The sequence below is a fragment of the Homo sapiens genome, chromosome 13, assembly GCF_000001405.40.
Source record: "Homo sapiens chromosome 13, GRCh38.p14 Primary Assembly".
Classification (NCBI taxonomy): domain Eukaryota; kingdom Metazoa; phylum Chordata; class Mammalia; order Primates; family Hominidae; genus Homo; species Homo sapiens.
This window is the reverse complement of record NC_000013.11, coordinates 43448466-43471701: the sequence shown is the minus strand read 5'-3', so window position 1 is coordinate 43471701 and position 23236 is coordinate 43448466. Positions and strand designations below refer to the sequence as shown.

The 23236-nt window shown below is 37.0% G+C and overlaps 1 protein-coding gene and 1 long non-coding RNA gene across 32 annotated transcripts in view; one reads left to right on the top strand and one right to left on the bottom strand.

Annotated features, from left to right (window-relative positions):
* ENOX1 (ecto-NOX disulfide-thiol exchanger 1) overlaps positions 1–23236 on the top strand; it is a 573843-nt gene that overhangs the window by 315271 nt on the left and 235336 nt on the right. The window lies entirely within an intron of this gene.
* On the bottom strand, positions 12214–22850 carry ENOX1-AS2 (ENOX1 antisense RNA 2). The gene is made up of 4 exons (NR_120399.1): positions 22754–22850; positions 16397–16440; positions 13232–13245; positions 12214–12772 (listed from the first exon to the last, which is right to left on the bottom strand). It is a non-coding gene; the product is annotated as an ENOX1 antisense RNA 2 (long non-coding RNA).

Sequence of the window (23236 nt, the reverse complement as noted above, 5' to 3'; positions counted from 1 at the left end):
AGTAGCTGGGACTACAGGCGCCTGCCACCACGCCAGGCTAATTTTTTGTATTTTTAATAGAGATGGGCTTTCACCATGTTAGCCAGAATGGTCTCGATCTCCTGACCCTGTGATCCTCCCACCTTGACCTCCCAAAGCGCTGGGATTACAGGTGTGAGCCACCACTTCTGGCTTGGACACATTTCAAAGCAAGTTATAGACATTAGTACATATCCTCCTAAATACTTGAACGTGTGCATTATTACCAGAATTTAAATTTTACGATTCTTTGTTTTTTCTTTTGAGGTAAAATTTACATATGATAAGACACACAACTTTTATGAGTGAATTTCCGTGAGTTCTGACAAATGTATCTGCCTGTTGCACCCGAATCTATATTACCCCAGAAAGTTCCTGCAGGCCCCTCCCAGTATCCCTACCCCACCAAGAGTAAATCACTTCTTTCAGGGCTTTATATAAATGGAACCATACTCTATATACTCTTTCGTGTCAGGCTCCTTTCATATAGCATAATGTTTTTGAGATCAGTCTGTTCTTGAGTTCATTGGTAGTTCTCTATTGCTGAGTTGTATTCCATTTTACCAATTTGTTTATCCATTCTTCCACATTTCGACTAGTATGAATGAGCTTCTATAAACATTCTTGTGCAGATGTTTTTGAGGGCATAGGTCTTCATTTATAGTAGGTCAACATCTAAAAGTAGGATTCTGGTCATAGATAGGTGTACTCTTAATTTTTGAAGAAATTGCCAGATCTTTTCCAAAGTAATTGTTTATATTCCCACCAACAAAATGTGAGAGTTTTAGTGTTCTACATCCTCACCCATATTTGGTGCAGTCTGACTTTTTAGGTTTAGCCATTTTGGTGGGTTTGTGGTGATGTTTAATAGTAATCTAATATGCCTTTTCCTTGATGACTAATATGTCGAAATCATTTTCATATGCTCACCGGTCATTTATATAATTTTCTCTGTAAAGTGTTCATTGCAGTTATTTTCCCATTTTTAAATTGGATTATTTGTGTTTTTCTTATTGAAGTATAGAAGTTCTTTATATGTATGAGCCATATATAAAAATATATATGTATGTAAATATATAAACAAGTATTTTATTAGGTATATTTTGCAAGTATTTCCTTCCAATCTGAGCCTTGCTAATTTATTCTCTTAGTGATGTCTTTTGATGAGCAGAAGTTTAAATTTTGAGGTCTAATTTATCAGGGCTTTCTTTTTCTTTCATGGTTAATTATTTTCTGTATCCTGTCTAAAACAAGGTTATCTCTGTTATATATATATATATATACACATATATATACGTATATATATGTATATATATACGTATATATATACATATATATATACGTATATATATACATATATATATGTGTATATATATGTATATATATGTGTATATATATATGTATATATATGTGTATATATATGTATATATATATGTATATATATACACACACACACATACACACACATATATATATACACATATATATATACACACACACATATAGTTTGAAAACTTTATAGTACAGTTGTAGCTTTTTATGTTTAGATTTATTATCCATATTAAATTAATTTTTATTTGTTGTGTGAGGTCAGTGTAGAGTTTTTTATTTTCTGTATGGATATTTAATTCTTCCAGCACTACTTGAAGACGTTCCTTTCCCCCACTGGAATTTCTTAATGTTATTCTTAAAGATCAAATGACCACATAAATATGCATCTATTTCTGAGCTCTCTGCTCTGTTCCATTGGTTTTGTAGCTCTTTATATATCAGTGTACCAGACTACACTGATTTCTGTAGCTTTATAGTAAGTCTTCAAGTCAGATGGTATAAGCCTTCCATCTTTGTTCTTTTTTTGTTTTTTACAAAATTGGTTTGTATATCCTAGTTCCTGTAAAATTTTAGATTTATCTTAGAATTATGTTCCTGGTTTCTAAGAAATTAGCCAAATGGGATTATGATTGGGAATATATTTATTCTAGGGATCAGTTTGGGAAGAATTGACTTCTCACCAATATCAAGCCTTCCAATATATGAACATACACTATCTCTGCATTTATATAGATCTTCTTTAAAACCTCTCAGTAATATTTTATATAAACATCTTAAATACCTACTATTATATTTATTACTCAGAATTTTATTTTTAAATATTTCAGATAGAATTTAAAATTTTTATTTTTCAAAGTTTCCTGTTAATAGATGAAACTACAATTGTAATATTACCCTGATAGCAAAACCTGACAAATACATAAGAGGAAAGGAAACTGTAGACCACTATTCTTTATTAATACAGGTAGAAAAATTCTCAGCAAGATACTAGCAAATTGTATACAGCAACATATAAAAAAGACTATACACCAGAACCAAATATAATTTATCCCACTAATAAAAGGTTACTTAAACATTTGAAAATTAATCGGTATAAACTCCATATTAATAGAATAAAAGAAAAACATACAATCATCTTAGTAAACTTAGAAATAATATTTGACAAAATCCGTTTCATGATAAATATGCTCAACAAACTAGGAATATAAGGAAACTTTTTAACCAGCTAAAGAACATCTATGGAAAACCCACAACTAACATTACAGTTATTAGTGAAAGACTGAAAGTTTTCCACCTAAGATTAGGAACAAGACAAACATTTCTACTCTACCCACTTCTAGTCAATAATGTACTATTGACTATGAGCTAATAAATGAGTTCTGTGAGGTTGCAACGTATAAAATCAATATACAAAGACCAGTTATATTTGTATACACTAGCAAGGAGCAATTTAAAATGAAATTAAGAAAACAATTTTATTCATAATAGCATCAATAAAAAATGCTTAGGAATAAACTTAACAAAAGCAGTGTAAGACATGCACGCTGAAAACTGCAAAGCATCATTGAAAGAGATTAATCATGACCTAAATAATGGTGAAACACACCATAATCATAGAAAGCTTAAGTTAGCAAAATGTCAGTACTCCCCAAATATATCTACAGATTCAGTGCCATCCCTATGAAAATCTTATCTGGCTTTGTTTTTTTTTTTTTTTCTTTTTTGTGGAGAATGGGGTCTCACTATATTGCCCAGGCAGATCTTGAACTCCTGGGCTCAAGCTATCCTCCTGATTCTGCCTCCCTAAGAGCTAGGATTACAGATGTGAGCCACTGCGCCTGCTTTGACTGGCTTTTTAAAAGAAATTTATAGGGCAGCCATGGTGACCCACACCTGTAATCCCAGCACTTTGGGAGGCCGAGGCGGGCAGATCACGAGGTCAAGAGGTCGAGACCATGCTGGCCAGCATGGTGAAACCCCATCTCTACTAAAAATATAAAAAATTAGCTGGGTGTGGTGGCATGCGCCTGTAGTCCCAGCTATTTAGGAGACTGAGGCAGGAGAATTGCTTGAACCCAGGAGGCGGAGGTTGCAGTGAGCCGAGATCACACCACTGCACTCCAGCTGGCGACAGAGTGAAACTCTGTCTCAAAAAAAGAAAAAAAAAGGAATTTATGATCCTGAACTTCATATGGAAATATAAAGACCCAAAATAGCCAAAACAATCTTGAAAAAGAACAATGTTAGAGGACTCACAGCTCCCAATTTCAAAACTTATTACAAAGCTAGAGTAATCAAGAGTCTTTGGTACTGGCAGAAGGATAGACAGATAGATAAATGGAATGGAATAGAGAATCCATGAATAAACCTTATATCTGTGGCCAGTTGATTTTCAAAAGGGTTCCAGAGCAATTCAATGGAAGAAAGAATAGTCTTTTCAACAAATGGTTCTGGGACAACTGGATTTCCACATGTATTAATAATACAAAATTATGAATTTGGATGCTTGTGTCACACCATATACAAAAATTAAAAATGATCCAAGATTTAAATGTAAAAGCTAAAACTATGAAATTCTTATAAGGAAACATAGGTATAAATCTTTATGACCTTGGATTAGGCAATAGTTTCTTGAGTGAAACACCAAAAGCATGTACAGCAAAAGAAAAATATAGATAAATCAGACTTTATCAAAATTTTAAACTTTTGTGCTTCAAAGGACACTAGCAAGAAAGTGAAAAGAGAACTCAAAGATGGAAGAAAATATTTGCAAATTTTATATTTGATAAAGAGTATACCAGATATATAAAGAAATTTTAAAATTTAAAATTTTAAAATTTTAAAATAACATTTGTCCAAAGAAGATACTATAAATGGCCAATAAGCACATGAAGAAATGCCCAACATTATTAGCCCTTAAGACATGTAAATCAAAACCACAACGTGGTACCACTTCATACCCACTTGGGTTACTATTTTAACTGTCTGTCGAATTACTATAGTCTATCATTTTTAGACAGTAAATATAGTAATATAGTATATAGTAATGTAGTAATTGTCTAAAATTGACAGACAATAACAGTGTTGACAGAGATGTGGTAAATTTGGAGCCTTCATGCATTTTGATGGGATTGTAAAGTGCTGTAACCACTTTGATAAAACACCTTGACATTTTCTTAAAAAGTTAATCATAGAGTTATCTCGCTCCTAGGTATAGACCTAAGAGAACTGAAAACATACATTCACACAAAAATTGTATGTGAGTGTTCATAGCAATTTTATTCCTAATAACCAAAATAATAGACAACCCAAATAGCCATCAGCTGATGAATGGATGAACAAAATGTGATATACGCATGCAGCAGAATATTATTCAACCTAAAATCAGAATGGAATACATTTACATGCTACAAAATGGATAAACCTTGAGCACATTAAGCCAGACACACAGACTACATATTGTCTGATTCCATTTATATGAAAAGTCCAGAATGGGCAACTTCACAGGGACAGAAAGTTGAGTAGTGGTTATAAGGGACTGGGCTGGGGGGAATGGGGAGTGACTGTTAATGGGTACAAGACTTCATTTTGTGTGATGAAAGTTTCCGGAATTAGATAAGAAGAATGGTCACACAACTTTGTGAATGTACTAGAAAGCATTGAACTGTACACCTTAAAAGAGTGAACTATACATTATATAAATTATATCTCCAATAAAAAAATAAAGTTGTACTCTATAATTTTTGTAAATCTACTTACTAGTTCTGATAGTTGTTTGGTAGGTTTAATGGGATTTTTTATACAAAATATACCATTCAGAAAGTTTTGTTCCTTTCTATTTTTTGTAGTTGTTCTTTTTCTTTATTATAATGACTCAGACTTCCCATTTGAGGAGTAAATGCTGAGTACAAGTGGTGAGAGTGGACATCTTTGTCTTGATCCTGATTTTATGAGGAATTTTTTATTATATTAACAATCAAGTATAATTTTCACTGTAGAATTTTCAGAGATGCATTTTATTGTATTAGGGAAGTTCTCTTTCATTTCTAATTGATGAGTGTTTGTTTTTAAATCCTTAGTGGATTTTTACTTTTTTCAAGATTTTTTTCTGTTTCCATTGAATCGTCATATAGTTTTTCTCTTTTATTATTGGAATTTTCCACTGTGTCTTATACCTGGTATCAAAAAAATAGACAATATATGTAGAGAATCCCACAACAGATTATAGAGCCTAGGGCTACAAGTGGTCAGTATCACTTCTACCCACATTCCTTTAACTGGAACTGGACCTAAATACAAGGGATCATGAGAATTATAGTCTTCCTGGGTGCCTAGGAGAAACATGAAATGATTTGATGAAAACAGAGCAATTGGAGTGATGGTAATGAATAAAAATAAAGCCCTTTTATATATTATTATTTTAAAGTAACAGAAATCTCTTCAAAAGAAGACCCAAATACTGAGGCTGAACAAATAAATGAATGGATGGTAGGTGGTGCAAGCCAGGTTTCTCATTGTCAGGACAATTTCCATAAGCTAGGAGAGGGGGCTGCAACAAACCCTGTAATGCTGGATTAGAGTTGGACATATCAGCTAACTTCATGTTAGCTTAACTACTATTTAATTTGATAAATATGCATACGGACAGACACAGAAACAATTATAGACATGTGCATATAACTGGGTTTGAATATGTATTTATACTTCTTGGCTCTTTCTGCTGAGGGGGCCTGGGAGCAGTGATACCTCAGTAGCATCAAGCACATGCAGTGCCCAGACCGTGGTTTCTAAATATTATCCTCCAATAATAGGAACTAGGGATCCTCAGAGAAATGACTGAGTTTGTGGCTGGGACAGTAAAAATACAAGATCTTGGAGCACATGGTATGCCCTAAAAAAATAAGTGCTCAAAAAACAAAAAGATGTAGGCATGTGAAAGGCATACAGGAACCAATTTAATAGAGCTCCCAGAGACCAAAGCTGGAACAATTTGAGCCACAAAATAAATAACATGGTATTTGATTATAACCGAAAGTATAAAATAAATGTCTGAGTTCATCCTAATATAAATAAACAATCGAACAAATAAATAAATAGAGTCTTTCTTCTAAAAGAATTCCAAATAGTACAGGTAGATATATCCACCTTCAGATAGTGAAGCTTACCCTCCCCCTTAAATGTGGGCTGGATTTATGACTGGCTTCCAAAGAGGGGAAATAGTAACTTCACAGTGAAAAAGCCTGGTAAACATTATCTTAACCAGGTGATCAAGGTTAACATCACCATGATAAATCAGGCTGATGTCATTTGCCTGCCCCCTGATGTGATGTGATGAGAAGTTTACCTTACCTCGGTGATATTCTTCCCAATAACCCTAATCAGCCAAAAGTGAGGGCATGCTTTAAAAATACTTGGCTAATACACATCAAGACCGTCAATGTCATGGGAAGCAAGAAAAAACTGAGAAACTGTCACAGACCAAAAAAGACTGAAGAGACATGATGACACAATGCAATGTGATATCCTAGACTGGACTGGATCCTGGAACAGAGAAAGGACATTAATAGAAAGACTGGTAAAATCCAAATGAAGTCTGGAGTTGAGTTAGTAGTGATGCACCAATGTTGGCTTCTTAGTTGTCACAAACGTACCAGGCCATGGTAATGTGAGATGTTAACAGTGGGGGAAAGTGGGGGAGGAGTATGTAGGAACTCTTTCTATTATCTTTGCAATTTTTTCTGCAAATTTAAGATTATTCCAGTATAAAAAATTGTCAAAAACACTAATAATAAGAAGGCCCAAAAGGTGAAACAGATATTGGCAAAGCTCTTGTGGTATGAGTAGAGGTACAGGGCCTGAGTCCTGACTGCTCAGCCTCTTCTCACTCCTCACTCCCTTCCAGGCTGCCTCCCTCCTTCCCCAGGTCCCCAGGGTTCTCTGTCACATATTCTGAAAAGTACTGCCCTGCAGAACTAAATGCAAGCTCCTCAACATATCTTCTGGGGCCCTTCATATTCTTACCCTTGTCTAGCTTTCATCTTCATCATCTGTTGACCTCTTGCCTCCTATATTTATTTCTGTATTTATTTCCTTCATATATTTTGAAGGCACTTTTTTTCCTCAAGCAGATCCTGACCTTCTTGTTGATTTTGAACATGCTACTTTTTTCAGCTTGGAAGACCATTCTCAAGCTTACTCACCCTCAAAAACTCTTCAGAAATCATCTTAGAATTCAGCTTAAGAGTGAGCCTTCTCTTGAAAGACTCTAAGGGAAAGGGACACCTTTCTGAAATGTTTCTACAATAGCACATGGTTCTAGTTGCCTGTGTGTGTGCCTGTAAGCATGCCTCTTGCCTGCAAATAGTCCACAACCTCCTTAAGGAGATGTCATTCGTCTCTCTCTGCCAAATGTCAAGCACAGTACCTGCACATAGTAGGTATTCAATAACTGTCAAATAAATGAATGGATGAATAAGAGTAGCAATTTTATTGAAATTGGATTATTTTCTTTTTTGTAGTCTTCTAATTTATTTGAATCTAGTTGTCATGAAAATACAAATTCAACGTTTTAATAAGCAAATTGATCCCAGTTTGCCAGTTTAAAAGAAAAGCATTGGCTTTTTAGGAGTAAGTACTAGCCTCGATTCAGCCGGCATGTGTACAACATATTGAGAGGGGTTGGGTATTTTTTCCTTTAAATAACAAAAATTTCACATGGTGCGTACTTTACAGTAAATGAAATAAGTACTGTAGTGTTGCTTTTTCAGTCTGCTGGTGTTTGAAGTAGTTGTCAGTAAAGCTAGCTGCATACATTTATCTTCATTAGCCATTCCAAGGTGATGCTTTTTGATGCAGGTGGCCCAGCTCTTCCCAGGCACTTTAATTTGCCAATTATTGTACCCACTATCTGTAGAACAGATAGTGATTAGTTTCACATTTTACTCACTGGGCAGCTTAATGTTCTTGTCACCTTACATTGAGTTTTAAATGTGCAAAGCGCAAAGAATGTGAAACATGTTTCTCAGACTTGGGGGCGGTAGTGGCTGTCATGCCTAGTAACTTGAATTACTCCTGGATACAGAAATTAAAGGGCCTGGTTCATTAACAAAGAATCAGATAATCTGACAAAAGTGCATCAAAAAAGGCAACATGAGTGTGTGTGTGTATAAAGGTTAGATGCATCTTTTCATTTTCTTTCACAAAAGCATCATTTGCTAGCGTGTGGGATCTGAGTGCTAGTTTGCTGGCTTAGATTACTACCGTTTAAAGAAAGAGAGAGATAATGGCAGGATCTTATTTAGAAAATAGCATTCTACCTGAATAATTTTCTTCTTTGAGTATTCTAAGGCAACATAGTTCATCCAAAACAGAGAATGAGAGGCACCGATTTTTAACGTAACGACTATGCACTACCTTACATTTTGGACAATTTTGCTCTAGCTATGACTCATTAACAAATTTTTTTTTAATTGCCAGAGAAAGTTGAGAAGTTCCCTTTGGAAAAATCCAAACCACACTTAGCAGTTTCGTCTGATGTTCATTTGTTTAATTTCCTGGGAGTGAGGTTGACTCGTTTATGGGGACTTAACCTAGTGCCATTATTAGCAGAAAAGATTATTTAACATTTTAAGAAAACATGGGAAAATGCTAGGCACATGGCATCCCAAACATAAACTTTATTTGCTACCCTCTCGAAGAATTTGTTTGCACATAATGTTGTTCACACCAGTGATAACAGAAAATGTAGTAATAACTACTCAGAATTAATATGCTGTAGTATGCATGGCTGCCTAATTTAATTTATCTCTGATTAAGCCTATTATGTTTGAGATCGCTTTACAGAAGAGATTTTTTTGCCAGCTGTAAGCTTATTTGAATTGTAATATAAGTTAATAATGTGTGAAATAACCAGTGGTGCCTACTTCTAAATGTTAATTTTGCCAACTGACTTCCTGAGTTGCATACCCAGACTATTAATGGGCATTTAGTTAATATCTTACATGAAGACCAGCTATTGGAATAAATATGAGAATTAACTATTTTCGTAGGCAAAGACAAATGGCGCAGAAATTCTTAAATTCTGAAATCCAGAAGAAAAGCTCTTGCATTATAAAAGTAATTGAAAATCAATGACTGATAATCACATAACATCACATATAAAGTAACATGTACTTTTTACATGACTTGTGTTCTAAATTTATTTCTTCAACCCTAAATCATCTCACTGGATCAGATAGAGTGGGTCCCTCGGGGTTCTTGCAGTGATCTATGCAGCACCTGCCTCACTGTCTGTGTGATCAGGTCTCTTGAGTGGGCCCAGCACCAGAGGGAAGGGGCTTGGCTATTGCTATTCAGTGGCTTGTTCTCCACATTACAGACCAAGCTTTGTATGTTTATCCAGAACCAATTGTTTCATTGGTCAGTCTAATCCTCTTTTTCAATGTCTTAAGTAATTAGCACCAAAAAAGTGATTGCGCTAATTACATTTCCTTGCTCAGCAGTTGGTCTCATACAAGGTTCTGTGCCTCCTTAGATACAGTTTGCATGGCTCAAAAGGTGAACTGTATTATTTGTATACATACTTAACTTTGGTAAACTGATTCCTCCCTACTCATTCTCAAACTGCTTTTCTCCCTTTTTGTAGTTTTTATTTATGGCTCTCTAATTAAAATTCCACCCAGTCCTCAAAGCCCCTTAAAAATCATACCTGCTCTATGAAGATTTCCTAACCATCCCAGGCCATGACCACGTCCTCCTTGGTTGGCGGTGGGGTCATTTGCCTTGATCATGTAGTCACCTTTCATATATTCTACTTATAGAGTCCGTGAGGACAGAGACCTTGCAATTTAAATCATTATACCCCACGGTGCCTAATACAGTTTCTTGTAAGAAAAAAATATATATATCAATAGATGGTGGTGATTGATGTTCAGAATACAAACATGACAAGGGAGATGCTTATAGATCATGAACCCTAGGTGAATAAATGAATGTAGATGAATACATAAAGTCAGTTTGCAGGTTCTCATTTGTTTTAAAGTTGAAGTAGAAACTTGCATGTAATAATTAACAAGTCAGAGATCACAAAGTAGATTTCTCCTTGCTTTAAACAGCTCTTGCTAGGCCTATAGTTTGAATCTCAGAATGTGTATAAAGTAGTGTTTCTTAACTCTGACTTACATGAGAATTGGCTGGGGAACTTCAAACATGTATGCCCATGGCAAAGACTCACCTTCAAATCAGTTAAATCAGGGAGCACTTTTTAAAAAGCTAACCAGATGATTTTAGTAAGAAACCAGAATTGAGAACCACCAGTGTAAAGGAAACTTAAAGGTCATTAAATTCATATATCCATCTGGTGTTTGATTGTTGTACATAGCTGCTTAGCAGTGAAAGAAGAGTGTTTCTAATAGGATCAAAATTGCAGCTCTCTGGTGCAGGTTTCCGTGCCATATCCAATCCTTCTCTCAAGCTAACACCCAAGGCGACCTACTCCCTTGGTTTGTAGAGAGCTATCCCTATTTTTTTTTTTTTTTTTTTTTTTTTTTTTTTTTTTTTGAGATGGAGTCTCGCTCTGTCGCCCGGGCTGGAGTGCAGTGGTGCGATCTCTGCCCACTGCAAGCTCCGCTTCCCGGGTTCACGCCATTCTCCTGCCTCAGCCTCCCGAGTAGCTGGAACTACAGGTGCCCGCCACCATGCCCAGCTAATTTTTTGTATTTTTAGTAGAGACAGGGTTTTACCGTGTTAGCCGGGATGGTGTCGATCTCCTGACCTCGTGATCCCTCAGCCTCCCAAAGTGCTAGGATTACAGGCGTGAGCCACTGAGCCCGGCAGCTATCCCACTTTTTAACACAGAAAGTTCCACATAGTAGGAAACTCCTTATTACTGGGCAAACCAGGACAGTTGGCCATCCTACTACCAACACACTTATGACTTGGATACCACAGAGGTGGTTTTGGATAAATTTCCTCTTGAGAGGAAGTGGGGTTTCTGATAGAATTTTTAATGAAAAAAATAGAAACAGAACACTTTAAAACCTTAGCAGCCTTGAGGGGAAAGAGACATATCAAGAGAAAAAGGGAAAACATTGCAATAGGTTCTCACAGAATTTCTGCAGTTAAGATGAAGGAGGGGTATTATGGCATGTAATTAATTAAAGAACATCAAAATATTCACTCACTTTTGTCTCTGTTATGTAGGTAAATTAAGGATAATTTTGTAACAAAAGAAGGCATGGAGCAAAAATCCCAAACTTGTAAATATAATTAACTAAACAATAAGCCCCTTGAGGATAGTTTTTTCTTGTTGTTATTTTTTGGTTTTGGTTTTTTGTTGTTGTTGTCGTTGTTTGTTTTTTGAGACAGAGTCTCGCTTTGTCACCCAGGCTGGAGTGCGATGGTGCAATCTCGGCTCACTGCAACCTCTGCCTCCCAGATTCAAGCAATTCTCCTGCCTCAGCATCCTGAGTAGCTGGGACTACAGGCGCGTGCCACCACACCCAGCTAATTTTTTTGTAGTGTTAGTAGAGATGGGGTTTCACGATGTTGGTCAGGCTGGCCTCAGACTCCTGACCTCGTGATCCACCCGTCTCAGCCTCCCAAAGTGCTGGGATTACAGGTGGGAGCCACCGCACCCAGCAGAGGATAGTTATTTTTACAAAGAGAAAACAAAGGATTATTGACAGCTACATAGAAAATTACTGACAGAACTAACATATGGCTCCTAGATCATTTTCTGGTAGGATCTTTGGCCCTTTTCCTACTCTACATCCTTTTAGTCCCAGTGACGTTTAGCATAGTACCCTCCTTTCAGATAAAAATAAGTGTTGTTAGATTGATAGAAAAATGAAAGTATTTTACTAATAAAAATACTTTTAGCAGTTTATTGTATAATGATAGCATTAACATTTTTTCATCATGAATGTCCATTTGAGTTTTATGCTGGTATCATGGTATAGTCCTGCAACCTAAGGATTAACTTATCTCTGTTATTTTCTGTTTTGATTGAGCACTGGGTAGCCAGTCTGACCACTACATAGTTGATTCATGTTACTTATTGATTGCCAAAATTGCCAGAGGTACCCTGGTCATTCAACTGTCTTTATAATCAAGGCAAATCCACTATGCAGCAATTCAGTCAATGGTTTGGTGTTCATCTGTCTAAAATGTTGATGGTACCACATAGGGACAAGATAAAATAGCTCATTTCATTGAAATCGTAATAGATTTTTCTCCCACTCTAAAATTTGTATGCTGCTATAGGAGGGAGCATCAATCAATCAAAATTAGCACATATTCTGTTGTTCTTTTCTTCCTTAAAACATTTAGCTGAAGTTGTAGAAACTCAGAGAAACATATGTTAGAGTGGGAAGTCGCAGAGCAACTCATCCAGTCTTTTCCAAAGTATGTCAATAAATATTACCTGAAAGAAAAGAAAAAAGGGGGAGAGTCTGTAGTCAAGTAAGTTTGTATAACGGAAGGTAAAACAAAATGGGACAGATACCTTGAATAAACTCATATGTGTTTCAAAGCTTCAAGAATGGGGAGGGGGAGGTGTGAGACGATCGAGGTGTGTTTCAAAATCATCTAACCACAGAACTCTTTGTCCTGAACACTTGGAGGGACTTCATATAACCTCCTAATTTTGTAGTTAAATAGAATTCTAAAGGGGTCAAGAAACTGATGCTGGGCCAAATATTTTCCTTTATTGTTTTTGTCCAGTCCTCCCTTTCCCCTACTTATATAAAAGTAGATAGCAATATAATGATTTTCTTAATATAATCAATATATCAATATAATGATTTTCTCAATTTTCTGTAAGAGCTCTGCACACCCCTTTTCAGTGGCTAACTGATGCGTTGCTTCCAGGTGACCAGCTTACCAGTGATGCGATGCCTAAAAAATGGAAATGAAAAATTAGTCAGTTGGAAAAGATGTACTTTTAGACAGCTTAAGGTTTCAATATCATCTCATATTCTGACTTGAATAGCTTTTTTTAATTGGGTACCTACAGTATGCCAGGTGCTTTATATGCATTGTATGATTTAATTCTCATAAAATCCTGCAAAATAGAGAATATGTCCATTTTCCTATCGGGGAGTTTATTTAGTAAATGGAAGACAGGGGATTTAAAATAAGGTCAATCTGACTGTAAAGTCAAGCTTTTTGTTAAGCTCAAAGATATGATGATGGCTACATTGGAAGTGATGTTGTTGACAACATAGTTAACTTTTTTAAAAAAGTTATTGGTCCATAATTGAGTATGACAGAGGATAGAGGACTACATAATTTGAGCTAGACAAATTTATAAGAAATATAAGCAGGAAAATAAACATATATTCAAGTAAAAGGATTACCTGCAAGCTAACATAAATTTCTTTGGGAGATGAGGGGAGGAATACACACATATATACCTTGGTACATACATATACACATATATTCTTGAGCCAAAAAATAGATATATTTCAGAGTGGTAAGAGTCAGTATATAGTTAGAAGTTGGTCTGGACATGTAATTGTGAAAAATCATTATGTGATAGGTTCTGTTGCAGGCTATACTGCTTTTCATATGCATTTTGGGTACATTTTGTTGACTGATAAAACGTAGTTTGACCATTAACATTCAGTGACATAAATTGCTTAACTGCCTTCCAAGTCAGTGATCATTGTTTGGAATTATCTTAAAGCCAGATGATTTTCCGAAATTTATCTTCTTATTTAGTGAACATACATAGCTTTTCTTAGTATAGTTATTTAGTTGGGCCAGTCTTCCTGCTGTTCTGTTTTAAAATCTTTTATGTCTGTTTCCTTTTTCTCCTTCCCCCTCCCTCCCTTTCTGCTTTCTTTCTTCCCTCCTCCTTATAGTCTTCCTTCCTTCTTATTGATAAATTGATATGCGTCTACCTCAAATTGATTATTTGTCCAAACTTCTGGAGCCAAGATAACAAAATGCTGTTATCTGGATAAAGATAACATTTATGGAAAGTCAACTTGACCTTGCCTGATAATCCCTAAAAAATAACAAAGAAGTAAAATGATTTTGTCAATACCCTCCTTAACAGTAGTTGTGAGGTGGTTACTAGTTTGTCCAAGTAACTCATAAAGTTCTCTGGACAAACAAACTAGACCAAAACAAAATACATAAGTACATATAACTACAAAGTAAAATGTATAACACTAGAAACTTCTGGTTTTATTAGATTGAACACATGCTTTCATATCTTCCTGTTCCAGAAATCTCACTAAAATTAGTAAAGAATAAAAAATAAATCTCATTAAAATTAGTAAAGAACAAAAAATAAATCTCACTGAAATTAGTAAAGAATTTTAAAAACCACAAAGCAGGGACACAAAGCAAATGAGAGAACAGAGGAGAGGCTACTGAATGTGAGATATCAGGCAATTTGTGGAAGACAGCAGAGTGATGGAGGAGGAATAGCTGAGGTGCACTGAGCAAAGCCTTCAGATTCATGCACGGGATGCTGTGGAGGCTTAGGAGTCATGAGACTGGAAAAAGGAGAATTGATTGCCAGGAGCTTCAGACCAACAGAGTATATGGAGTAGTTAGGCCCTGCCCTCCCTAGCTCACACTGACTCTACCAATTCCCCAACCCTATGTGAGGTATCAGGGATAGTCTTAGGCTACATTGAATCAGAGATACTCTAGACTCAGGGATTGGGCCCAGGAGAGAGGATGAAACTCCACAGAGAGAACAGGTGAAACCCTCCTGGACTATTCCCTGACATAGCTCCCAGGGAACCTACAGCTAGGGACTGGCTCCTTAGGCAGGGGTTTGGAGATTCTTATCTGCAGAAACTCAGTCCAAAAAATGACTGATTGGCAGAGTCCCTGTTGAAATGGTTAGATTCCCCACTCTGTTACCTCGGAGGGATGCCAGTCAAGGAAAAAGCACACCCTGTCTACACTCAGGGTTTCCCTTGGAAACTAGACCCACTGTTTTTAAATATAAATGAATCGTTTGTTTCATATATAATGTATATATATGAAATAAACATATATATTTCTTAAATATAAATGAGTAATGAAGGGCCATCAGATATTTGAGGATATCCACTGACATAAAATATAGAATAAAATATAGAGATCAAAACAGAGAAAGGGGCTAAAGGAGCTCAGAGAAGATATAGATATTTCAGGAAGCAAATGAAAGCCTTTAAAAACCTATAGTAACTTCAGAAAGATGAGAGATACTGTTATATCTATAAAATAAAAAGCATTCTATAGAACAGGAACAATTAGAAAATAAGAAGGAGGTATTGGAAATTAAACTTATAGAAGAATATAAAATGATTCAGAGGTATAGAAGTCAAACTTTCTAGAAAGTAGATAGTCCAAACGTTTTCACACTGCTGATAAAGACACACCCAAGATTGAGTAATTTACTTAAAAAAAGAAGTTTAATGGACTCACAGTTTCACATGGCTGGGGAGACCTCACAATCATGGCAGAAGGCAAGGAAAGAACAAAGTCACATCTTACAGGGTGGCAGGCAAAGACAGAATGAGAAGCAAGCAAACGGGGTTTCCCCTTATAAAACCGTCAGATCTCATGAGACTTATCCATTCCCATGAGAACAGTATGGAGGAAACCACCCCCCATGATTCAAGTGTCTCCCACTGGGTCCCTCCCACAACAATGGGAATTATGGGAGCTACAATTTAAGATGAGTTTTGGATGGGAACACAGCCAACCATATCAGACGGACGTGGGGTGAGGTGGAGGTGAGAAATATAGTGGATTAATCCATGAGGTTCCATATTTTACCATAAGCATGCCAGAAGGAGAAAACAAGAAAAAAATGATTCAGAGACAAGTACTAAAGAATAATAGAAGAAGAATTGTCAAAATGGAACAATGCTATTTTCCAGATTTTCAGAGACCATAAAGTGCCCAAAATGATGGGTAAGAAAAGATTCTCATTAGCTCATTAGGGTTCTTTACTCTAAGACTTCAGAATACCAGGATTAAAAAGAAGATTCCAAAACCTTCCAGAGGAGTAACACAGGTCACATGTAAAAGATCATACCTGGTAAAAGGAATAGTAGTGGCCTGAGACTGCAATACTGGAAGCTAGAAGACAATGAAGTACAGCCTAAACATTATGAGGGAAAATTACATTTTACTTAAAATTCAATTACAAGTTTAACTCAGTATGAGAGTAGAATTAAGACATTTTCAGACACATGAGGTCTCAACAAATTCACCTCCCATGTACCTTTTCTCAGGAAGCTACTAGAGAATGTGCTCTACAAAAATGAGGATGTAAACCAACAAAGAGGAAATCATGGGATCCAGGAAATGGGGGCTCCAACACAGGAAAGAGGCATAGGGATTTCACAAAATGGTGTTAAAAAGAAGCCCCAGGACAACAGGTGGGCAGCTGGCCTGGAAAACCCCTAGACCAGAGGGGCTGGACGGGAGGCTCCTCCAGGGAAAAAGAGATCCAGTAGACTAACCAGTGGGCTAATTGTGTAAAAAAAAAAAAAAAAATGGTTTCAATATAAGTTCTATAGTTCTTTTGGGTAGTTCATGAATGGTTAATGATAGATACACAAAAGAGGTGAGCAAAATAAAAGACAACACCAGGAAAAATAAGATGTTGAACAACATCGAACGCATACTCTTTTACTACTTGTCTTGGTAGTAAACAATATTACATGGTCATAGTAAGGTAAACTGGAATATCAATTTAACCCCAAGTTGCCATTTAACCCACTGGAAAGATCAGGAAAGAAAACTTGGGAGCGTGTGATAGTATCAGAGTGCTAAATTTTCCTTATTTTGCATAGTAGTAAGGCAGATAATCTCTAAGAATAAGTTAATAAATATCAGTATATACACAGTACTTAAGTATAGGGATGTAAATAGCATAGTTAAAAGTGGTTTCCTCTCCCATGGTGAAATTCAATCTCCCTGGTTACAGTTGCTGGACAGTGCTAGTTTTCCTGCGCTGGACAAGACTATAGATTAACCAAACCAAGAACAATTGATTGCAGCAAAAGTCTTACCTATATATGAGGTTACACACTCTGGAAAATAAACATCTTTCATAATAAAAGCAAAAAAAAAAAATAGTTTCCCCTGAGAAGCAGGAAGGAGGAGTGGTAGGCAAAGTGGGGGAAGGGAGTACTCTTTTTAATTATAGGCCTTATAATACTATTCACCTTTTTAAACTATAGGCATATATTACTTTAATAAATACTAAGCTGATTTTTAAAAATTACTGGAATAAGAAGTAGAAATTATAAAACCAACATGGACAATGCTCCCACACCCCAAATAAAGCAAAAACAAGAGAGGAAGAAGCTGATGGTGATTTTTTAATCTTTCAAAACTCATTTATCTATCTCATGTCTAATAGCAAAGTAGAACTCAGGACCCTCTGCCAGTCTTACTCTAACCAACATTTCCCATCATCTACACCTACTCCCCACATTCTTTCTTTAAACTAAACAGAGCTACTTCATGTTTCCTGTACAACACCTATATTTTCCTTTATCTGTTCCTTTGCTTGTAGTGCAATTATTGTTCACCTTCCATTCACACATATTCCTAACACACACACTCACATACACTTATCCCTTACCAAGGTCCCCTTGCAGCACCTCCATCCCTTGAACACTTCCCTACCTGTTTACATATTAGCTCAAAAAGCTCTCTGAGGGATCTTTGAGGGACCCCGGATAATAGTGTTCTCCCCTTTCTTTTCATTCCTGCTGTATTGCCTTTAACACCAGAGGACAGGAACCATATTACACTGGTATTTGTTCCTCCTATAGTGCCAGGCAGAGTGCTGGCATATTCCAGGGATTGCCGCAGATATTAATCAAATGGGCAAATTAATCTTCCATTAAAGGTGAAATCCACTCTGTCATGACCCAGTGCTAAACATCTCTATCTGCAAAAATAAACATCACTAGAATGTATGGCTTTTTGTTTTTGTTTTTGTTTTAAGGAAGCTCATGTGCTTTCCTCCTAAGCACGGAGAGTGTGCACAGAGCCCAGAGGTACTGCTCCCTAAAAGTTTGCTAGTACTTCCTTCGTGGGGAATGTGGAAAGCTTGTAAGTTTTAATTTGACTCTGCAGGGTTACAGGTAGCCTGGCACTGATGTTGCTGTGGGAAGGATGTCAGTTAGGTCTCCAACTGAAGAATCACCTAGACATGACCCTGGGGCTGGTGAACAGCCCAAGACATGCCAGGAAAATGGAAACCCTGTCATGAGGCCAGAACAGGAAAATAAAAAAGGAAGTCCACAAATAATGATATAGCAAGCATAGCACAGCTTGGACTTGCATTCATAGCTTCCCATGCTTAGTTCAGGTTTCTTTCTATTTAATCAGGCTTTATACCACAAGCCCCAAGTCTCTTTTATAACCATTCAAATGATCATCTAACAGACTATAACAGGATTAATCTAAAACATCCACCTGTGGCAATAACAAAAGCCCAGCAATATTATGATACATGCAAACAATGGGGTACAATGGAGTCTTTAAAAAGAATAAGGTAGGCCAGGTTGGTGGCTCATGCCTGTAATCCCAGCACTTTGGGAGAATTAGGCAGGCGGATCACTTGAGGTCAGGAGTTTGAGACCAGCCTGGTCAACATAGGGAAACCCAATCTCTACTAAGAATACAAAAATTAGCCAGGTGTGGTGGCGGGCACCTGTAATCCCAGCTACTTGGGAGGCTGAGGCAGAAAAATGGCTTGAACCCAGGAGACAGAGGTTGCAGTGAGCTGAGATCATGCCACTGCACACCATCCTGGGTGACAGAGAGAGACTCCGTCTCAAAATAAATAGTTAGATACAATGATGGACAGGATAAAGAAAATGTGGCACATATACACCATGGAATACAATGCAGCCATAAAAAGGATGAGTTCATGTTCTTTGCAGGGACATGGATGAAGCTGGAAAGTATCATTCTCAGTGAACTAACACAAGAACAGAAAACCAAACACTGCATGTTTTTACTCATAAGTGGGAGTTGAACAATGAGAACACATGGACACAGGGAGGGGAATATCACACACCAGGGCCCGTCAAGGGGTGTGGGGCAGGAGGAGGGATAGCATTAGGAGAAATACCTAATGTAGATGATGGGATGATGGATGCAGCAAACCACCGTGGCACGTGTATACCTGTGTAACAAACCTGCACATTCTGCACATGTACCCCAGAACTTAAAGTATAATAAAAAAAAGAAAGAAAGAGGTAGATCTGTAAGCCCTGCTGTGGTGAAGCATTTAATACGTACTGTTAAAGGAAAAAGTAAGTGTGGAATAAGATTACCTCCTTCAGGTCTCTACTCAACTGTCACCTTTCCAATGAGGCCTTCCTTAACCACTGAATTCGTACTTGAAAACGTTTTGTCTGCTCTCCCCTTTTTCTCTGTTAGCATTTATCCCCATCTGATATAATCTATAACTTATTTGTTTATTTGTGATCTATCTTCATACTGGAATATAACCTACATAAGGGATTTTGTCTGTTTTATTTACTGCTTTTCCCCAAGTACCTAGAATAACCAAATGAATGAATTTATATGAGAAAGGTTTATTATTTGCATAGAAACAGTACTGCAAGGCTATACAAACTTCACAGTAGTTACCTGTGAGCAGTAGAAGTAGGAGACTAGGAGCAAGACTAACTTTTTATTGTATATATCTTACCATGTACATGTACGTATCTTTTTTAATAAAAACACTAGTTTTATAGGGACTCCCATTTAAAGTGTTTTGTGAAGGCTATGATAAAATAATCACTTATTAATAAACACCATTTATTTCTAATTGTGAGACAATAAGTACCATTCTGATTTCTCTTCTTTCCATAAGTCAAGTTGTAAATGGGCCACTATTGAAGTTCATGGGCTTTATATTTTATGAAGCCTTTACCAACAGACTTTTCATTTTCCATCAGAGGAGTGCCCTGTGTACTTACATTGTGGTGGGAGAAAAATGGATTTTTAGGCCAGATACATTTATATCTACTACCTTTTAACTAAATGACCTAGAGCAGGTTACTTAACCAGCCTGAGTTCCCTTACCTATAAAATTGGGATAATTTTCCCACTAGCAAAGTTTGCTCTTAAAGCAAAATAAGACCAAGTATATATATTCAGTGCCTTGCAGCGTCTGGTCCAAGGTAAGACTCGGTATGTAAGGTCCTTCCCCTTTCCTGACCGAAGATGAGCCAGAGAGAAGACCCTTCATGATATTTTTACTTCTAACTACTCAAAATGTGGTCCCAACATCACCAAGAAGTTTATGAGAAATGCAAGGTCTCAACGTTTACCTGATTTAATGAATCAAAATCTGCAGTTTAACAAAATACCCGGGTGATCCCTGTGGACAGTGAAGTTTCAGAAGCTCTGTTTTCATGTTTCTTATAGCAGTGTTTCAGACAGGCTTCTATTAATTATGTTGTTGTTTTTAAAAATTTTCTGTATTTTACAGTGCTTTGACATCTTGGGGCCTTGTGGACTTGGGATGCTAAACCTTCCTGGGTCAGCTGATACCTAGAGATAGCAAACATCTTGCCCATGAGCTCGCCTTTGATATTCAAACCAACCAATCCTGAGTCCACGCCACTACCTGCTTCCTTTTATCAGGCTCCTGCAATCCAGAACACTATTTACCTGCCCTGAATCACTCCAGGGCCAGGTACTGCATAACTAGGAACCGTCCCTATACCACAGAGCCTGCTGAAATTATTTAAATTAGCTATCCTAAAGCTGCTTACTCTGTCTTGCCTGTTCTTTCCATGGAAACCATAATAAAGGCCCTTCCCCACATTTTCCCCGTATTTCCTCTGCCTCCTACTGACCCTGGTGCCTCCCCAGGTAGCCCAGTGTGGTCTGGCATGCCTGCTCTTCTTGGAACTGTGACAAACTATCCTCTCAATGACAGTCACCTCCTGATCTGTTGGCCTCGTCGTACTTGAATAAAACCAAAACCCCAGGTACATTTTCTTAAAAAGCTGCCTTTGTAAACTTCTTTCTTAGTTGAACTCTTCCTGCCATCTGCTGCCCCCCACTTCACCTTGCAAATTTAAGGTTTATTTGGAGAGGTGTGAGGGTGTCCAGCAGAGCCAGATTTTCTGGCAGGGGACGGCTAACAAGCCAAAATCCATGAGGATACTAAGCCACCTCATCAGCCAGAACTTACTTTTAAATAAAGATGATCAGGGATAACCACATAGAACGTTGTAAATCTGCTTAATATCATATGACTATATTGAATGCCAATAATACTCCTTAAGCACAAGCTTTGGACGCTTCCGAAATTGCTATTACAAATGATTAAGGCCTCCGAGGTAATGGAACCATTTGAATTGAAACACACAAACTTATTTACAGCATTCTAAAATGTTAAAAACAAATGAAAACCTGCCGTTCCATCCTTTCATTTTTCACTATGGCCTCTTAATATGGTATATATGCTTTAGATAGAAATAACTGCTGCCAGGGAGCAGCTAGTGTGTTACCAAGCAGCTTCCCTTCCCACATTTGCATTTACCTCTTGTCTCTTCGGTTGTAGAAAGAATCTTGATATATGGAAGTGAGCTAACTGAAGCTGAGGTTAATAAAAGCAAGTATTAAAAGAACATAAAAGGGACTTTTCTCCCTGTGACTCAAACAAACAAAAAAAAAACAATAAGAAGTATCTATTTTAGAAGTATTTCATGTTTGTTAGGTAAGACTGTGAGAATAGAAGATATGAACTTTTGCCTTATGAAAGTTACTTTACTACAATTTTATTAAGAAATTAAAATTTGTTTAACACCTTTTAATTCAAAATATTAGAAAAGGAAACTTTCTATTGATTGTTTTATGATCATCAGTTTTGTTTCCATAAGAAATACGCCCATTTATTATTACCTTAAAAAGAAACTGCAGGTAGCAGGATTTTGCTCCCCATAACTAGCCCTATCAGATTCAACATTACTGCCCAACCAGTGTCTAAAATTTGACTTGTAGCCTGCATAAATCACAATGTCCCCTGAAACCACTTGTTTCTAGGAGGTATTTTGTTTGATCGCTCCTTGACCCTTTTCCAAGAAACCTAATTTGCCCAAGGGAGTCTCACACTGGAAAACAGTGTTTGCGTCTGCTTAGGGAAATGTGCGTGAAATAATGACTTATTTAGAACTGAGAACAGAATGGAATGGAATGGATTGATAAGCCAGTTTGAACAGGCAGAGAGCAACTTGGGCCTCTAAACTCTTATAAAAGGAGCTCTGCAGCAAAGCACTTTGCCTAGACTGTATCTGGCAAGGCCCATCTTCATTCAACAAACATTGTCTCTGTGAACTCTGTGCAAAATTCTTACTCTTATAAATGCCTTAAGGCATGCCATTTCATTTTAAGTTTCACTTACACTTCTAAGATGGTGCGGATTTCTCGATTCAGCCCTGCAGACCCCAGTGTAGAAATTGCTCTCCAAGGTATGTTACCCGTTTTAAACTCAGTTGCGTCCTTTTAGATGGCTGCAGAATGCTTGTTGGTGGCGATGCCGCTCTGAGTTAAAGTGCTTTCTTGGTTGCCAGGAGAGTTGGCGAGTGTGCTGATGCATGAATTACCCAAAGAGAGGGCTTGACTCAGCTTCTTTCTCACTTACTGAACTGAAAATGAACCAGCAGTCAAAAGTAGGGAGGTGACATCTCATCTAGATCAATGAAGAATGAGTTGAGGCAAAAAAGGGGGAGAAAAAAAAGAACTGTACTACTGGATTGCTCTTTGTGCTGCTGCATTTCCTGTTTCTTTTGCTTTTTCTTTTTTCTCTTCACTTTTCTCCCAATAAAATATAGTCAATTTGTCTTATAACTATAGCCTCAAGGCTAGTAACTCTTTGAAATGGCAA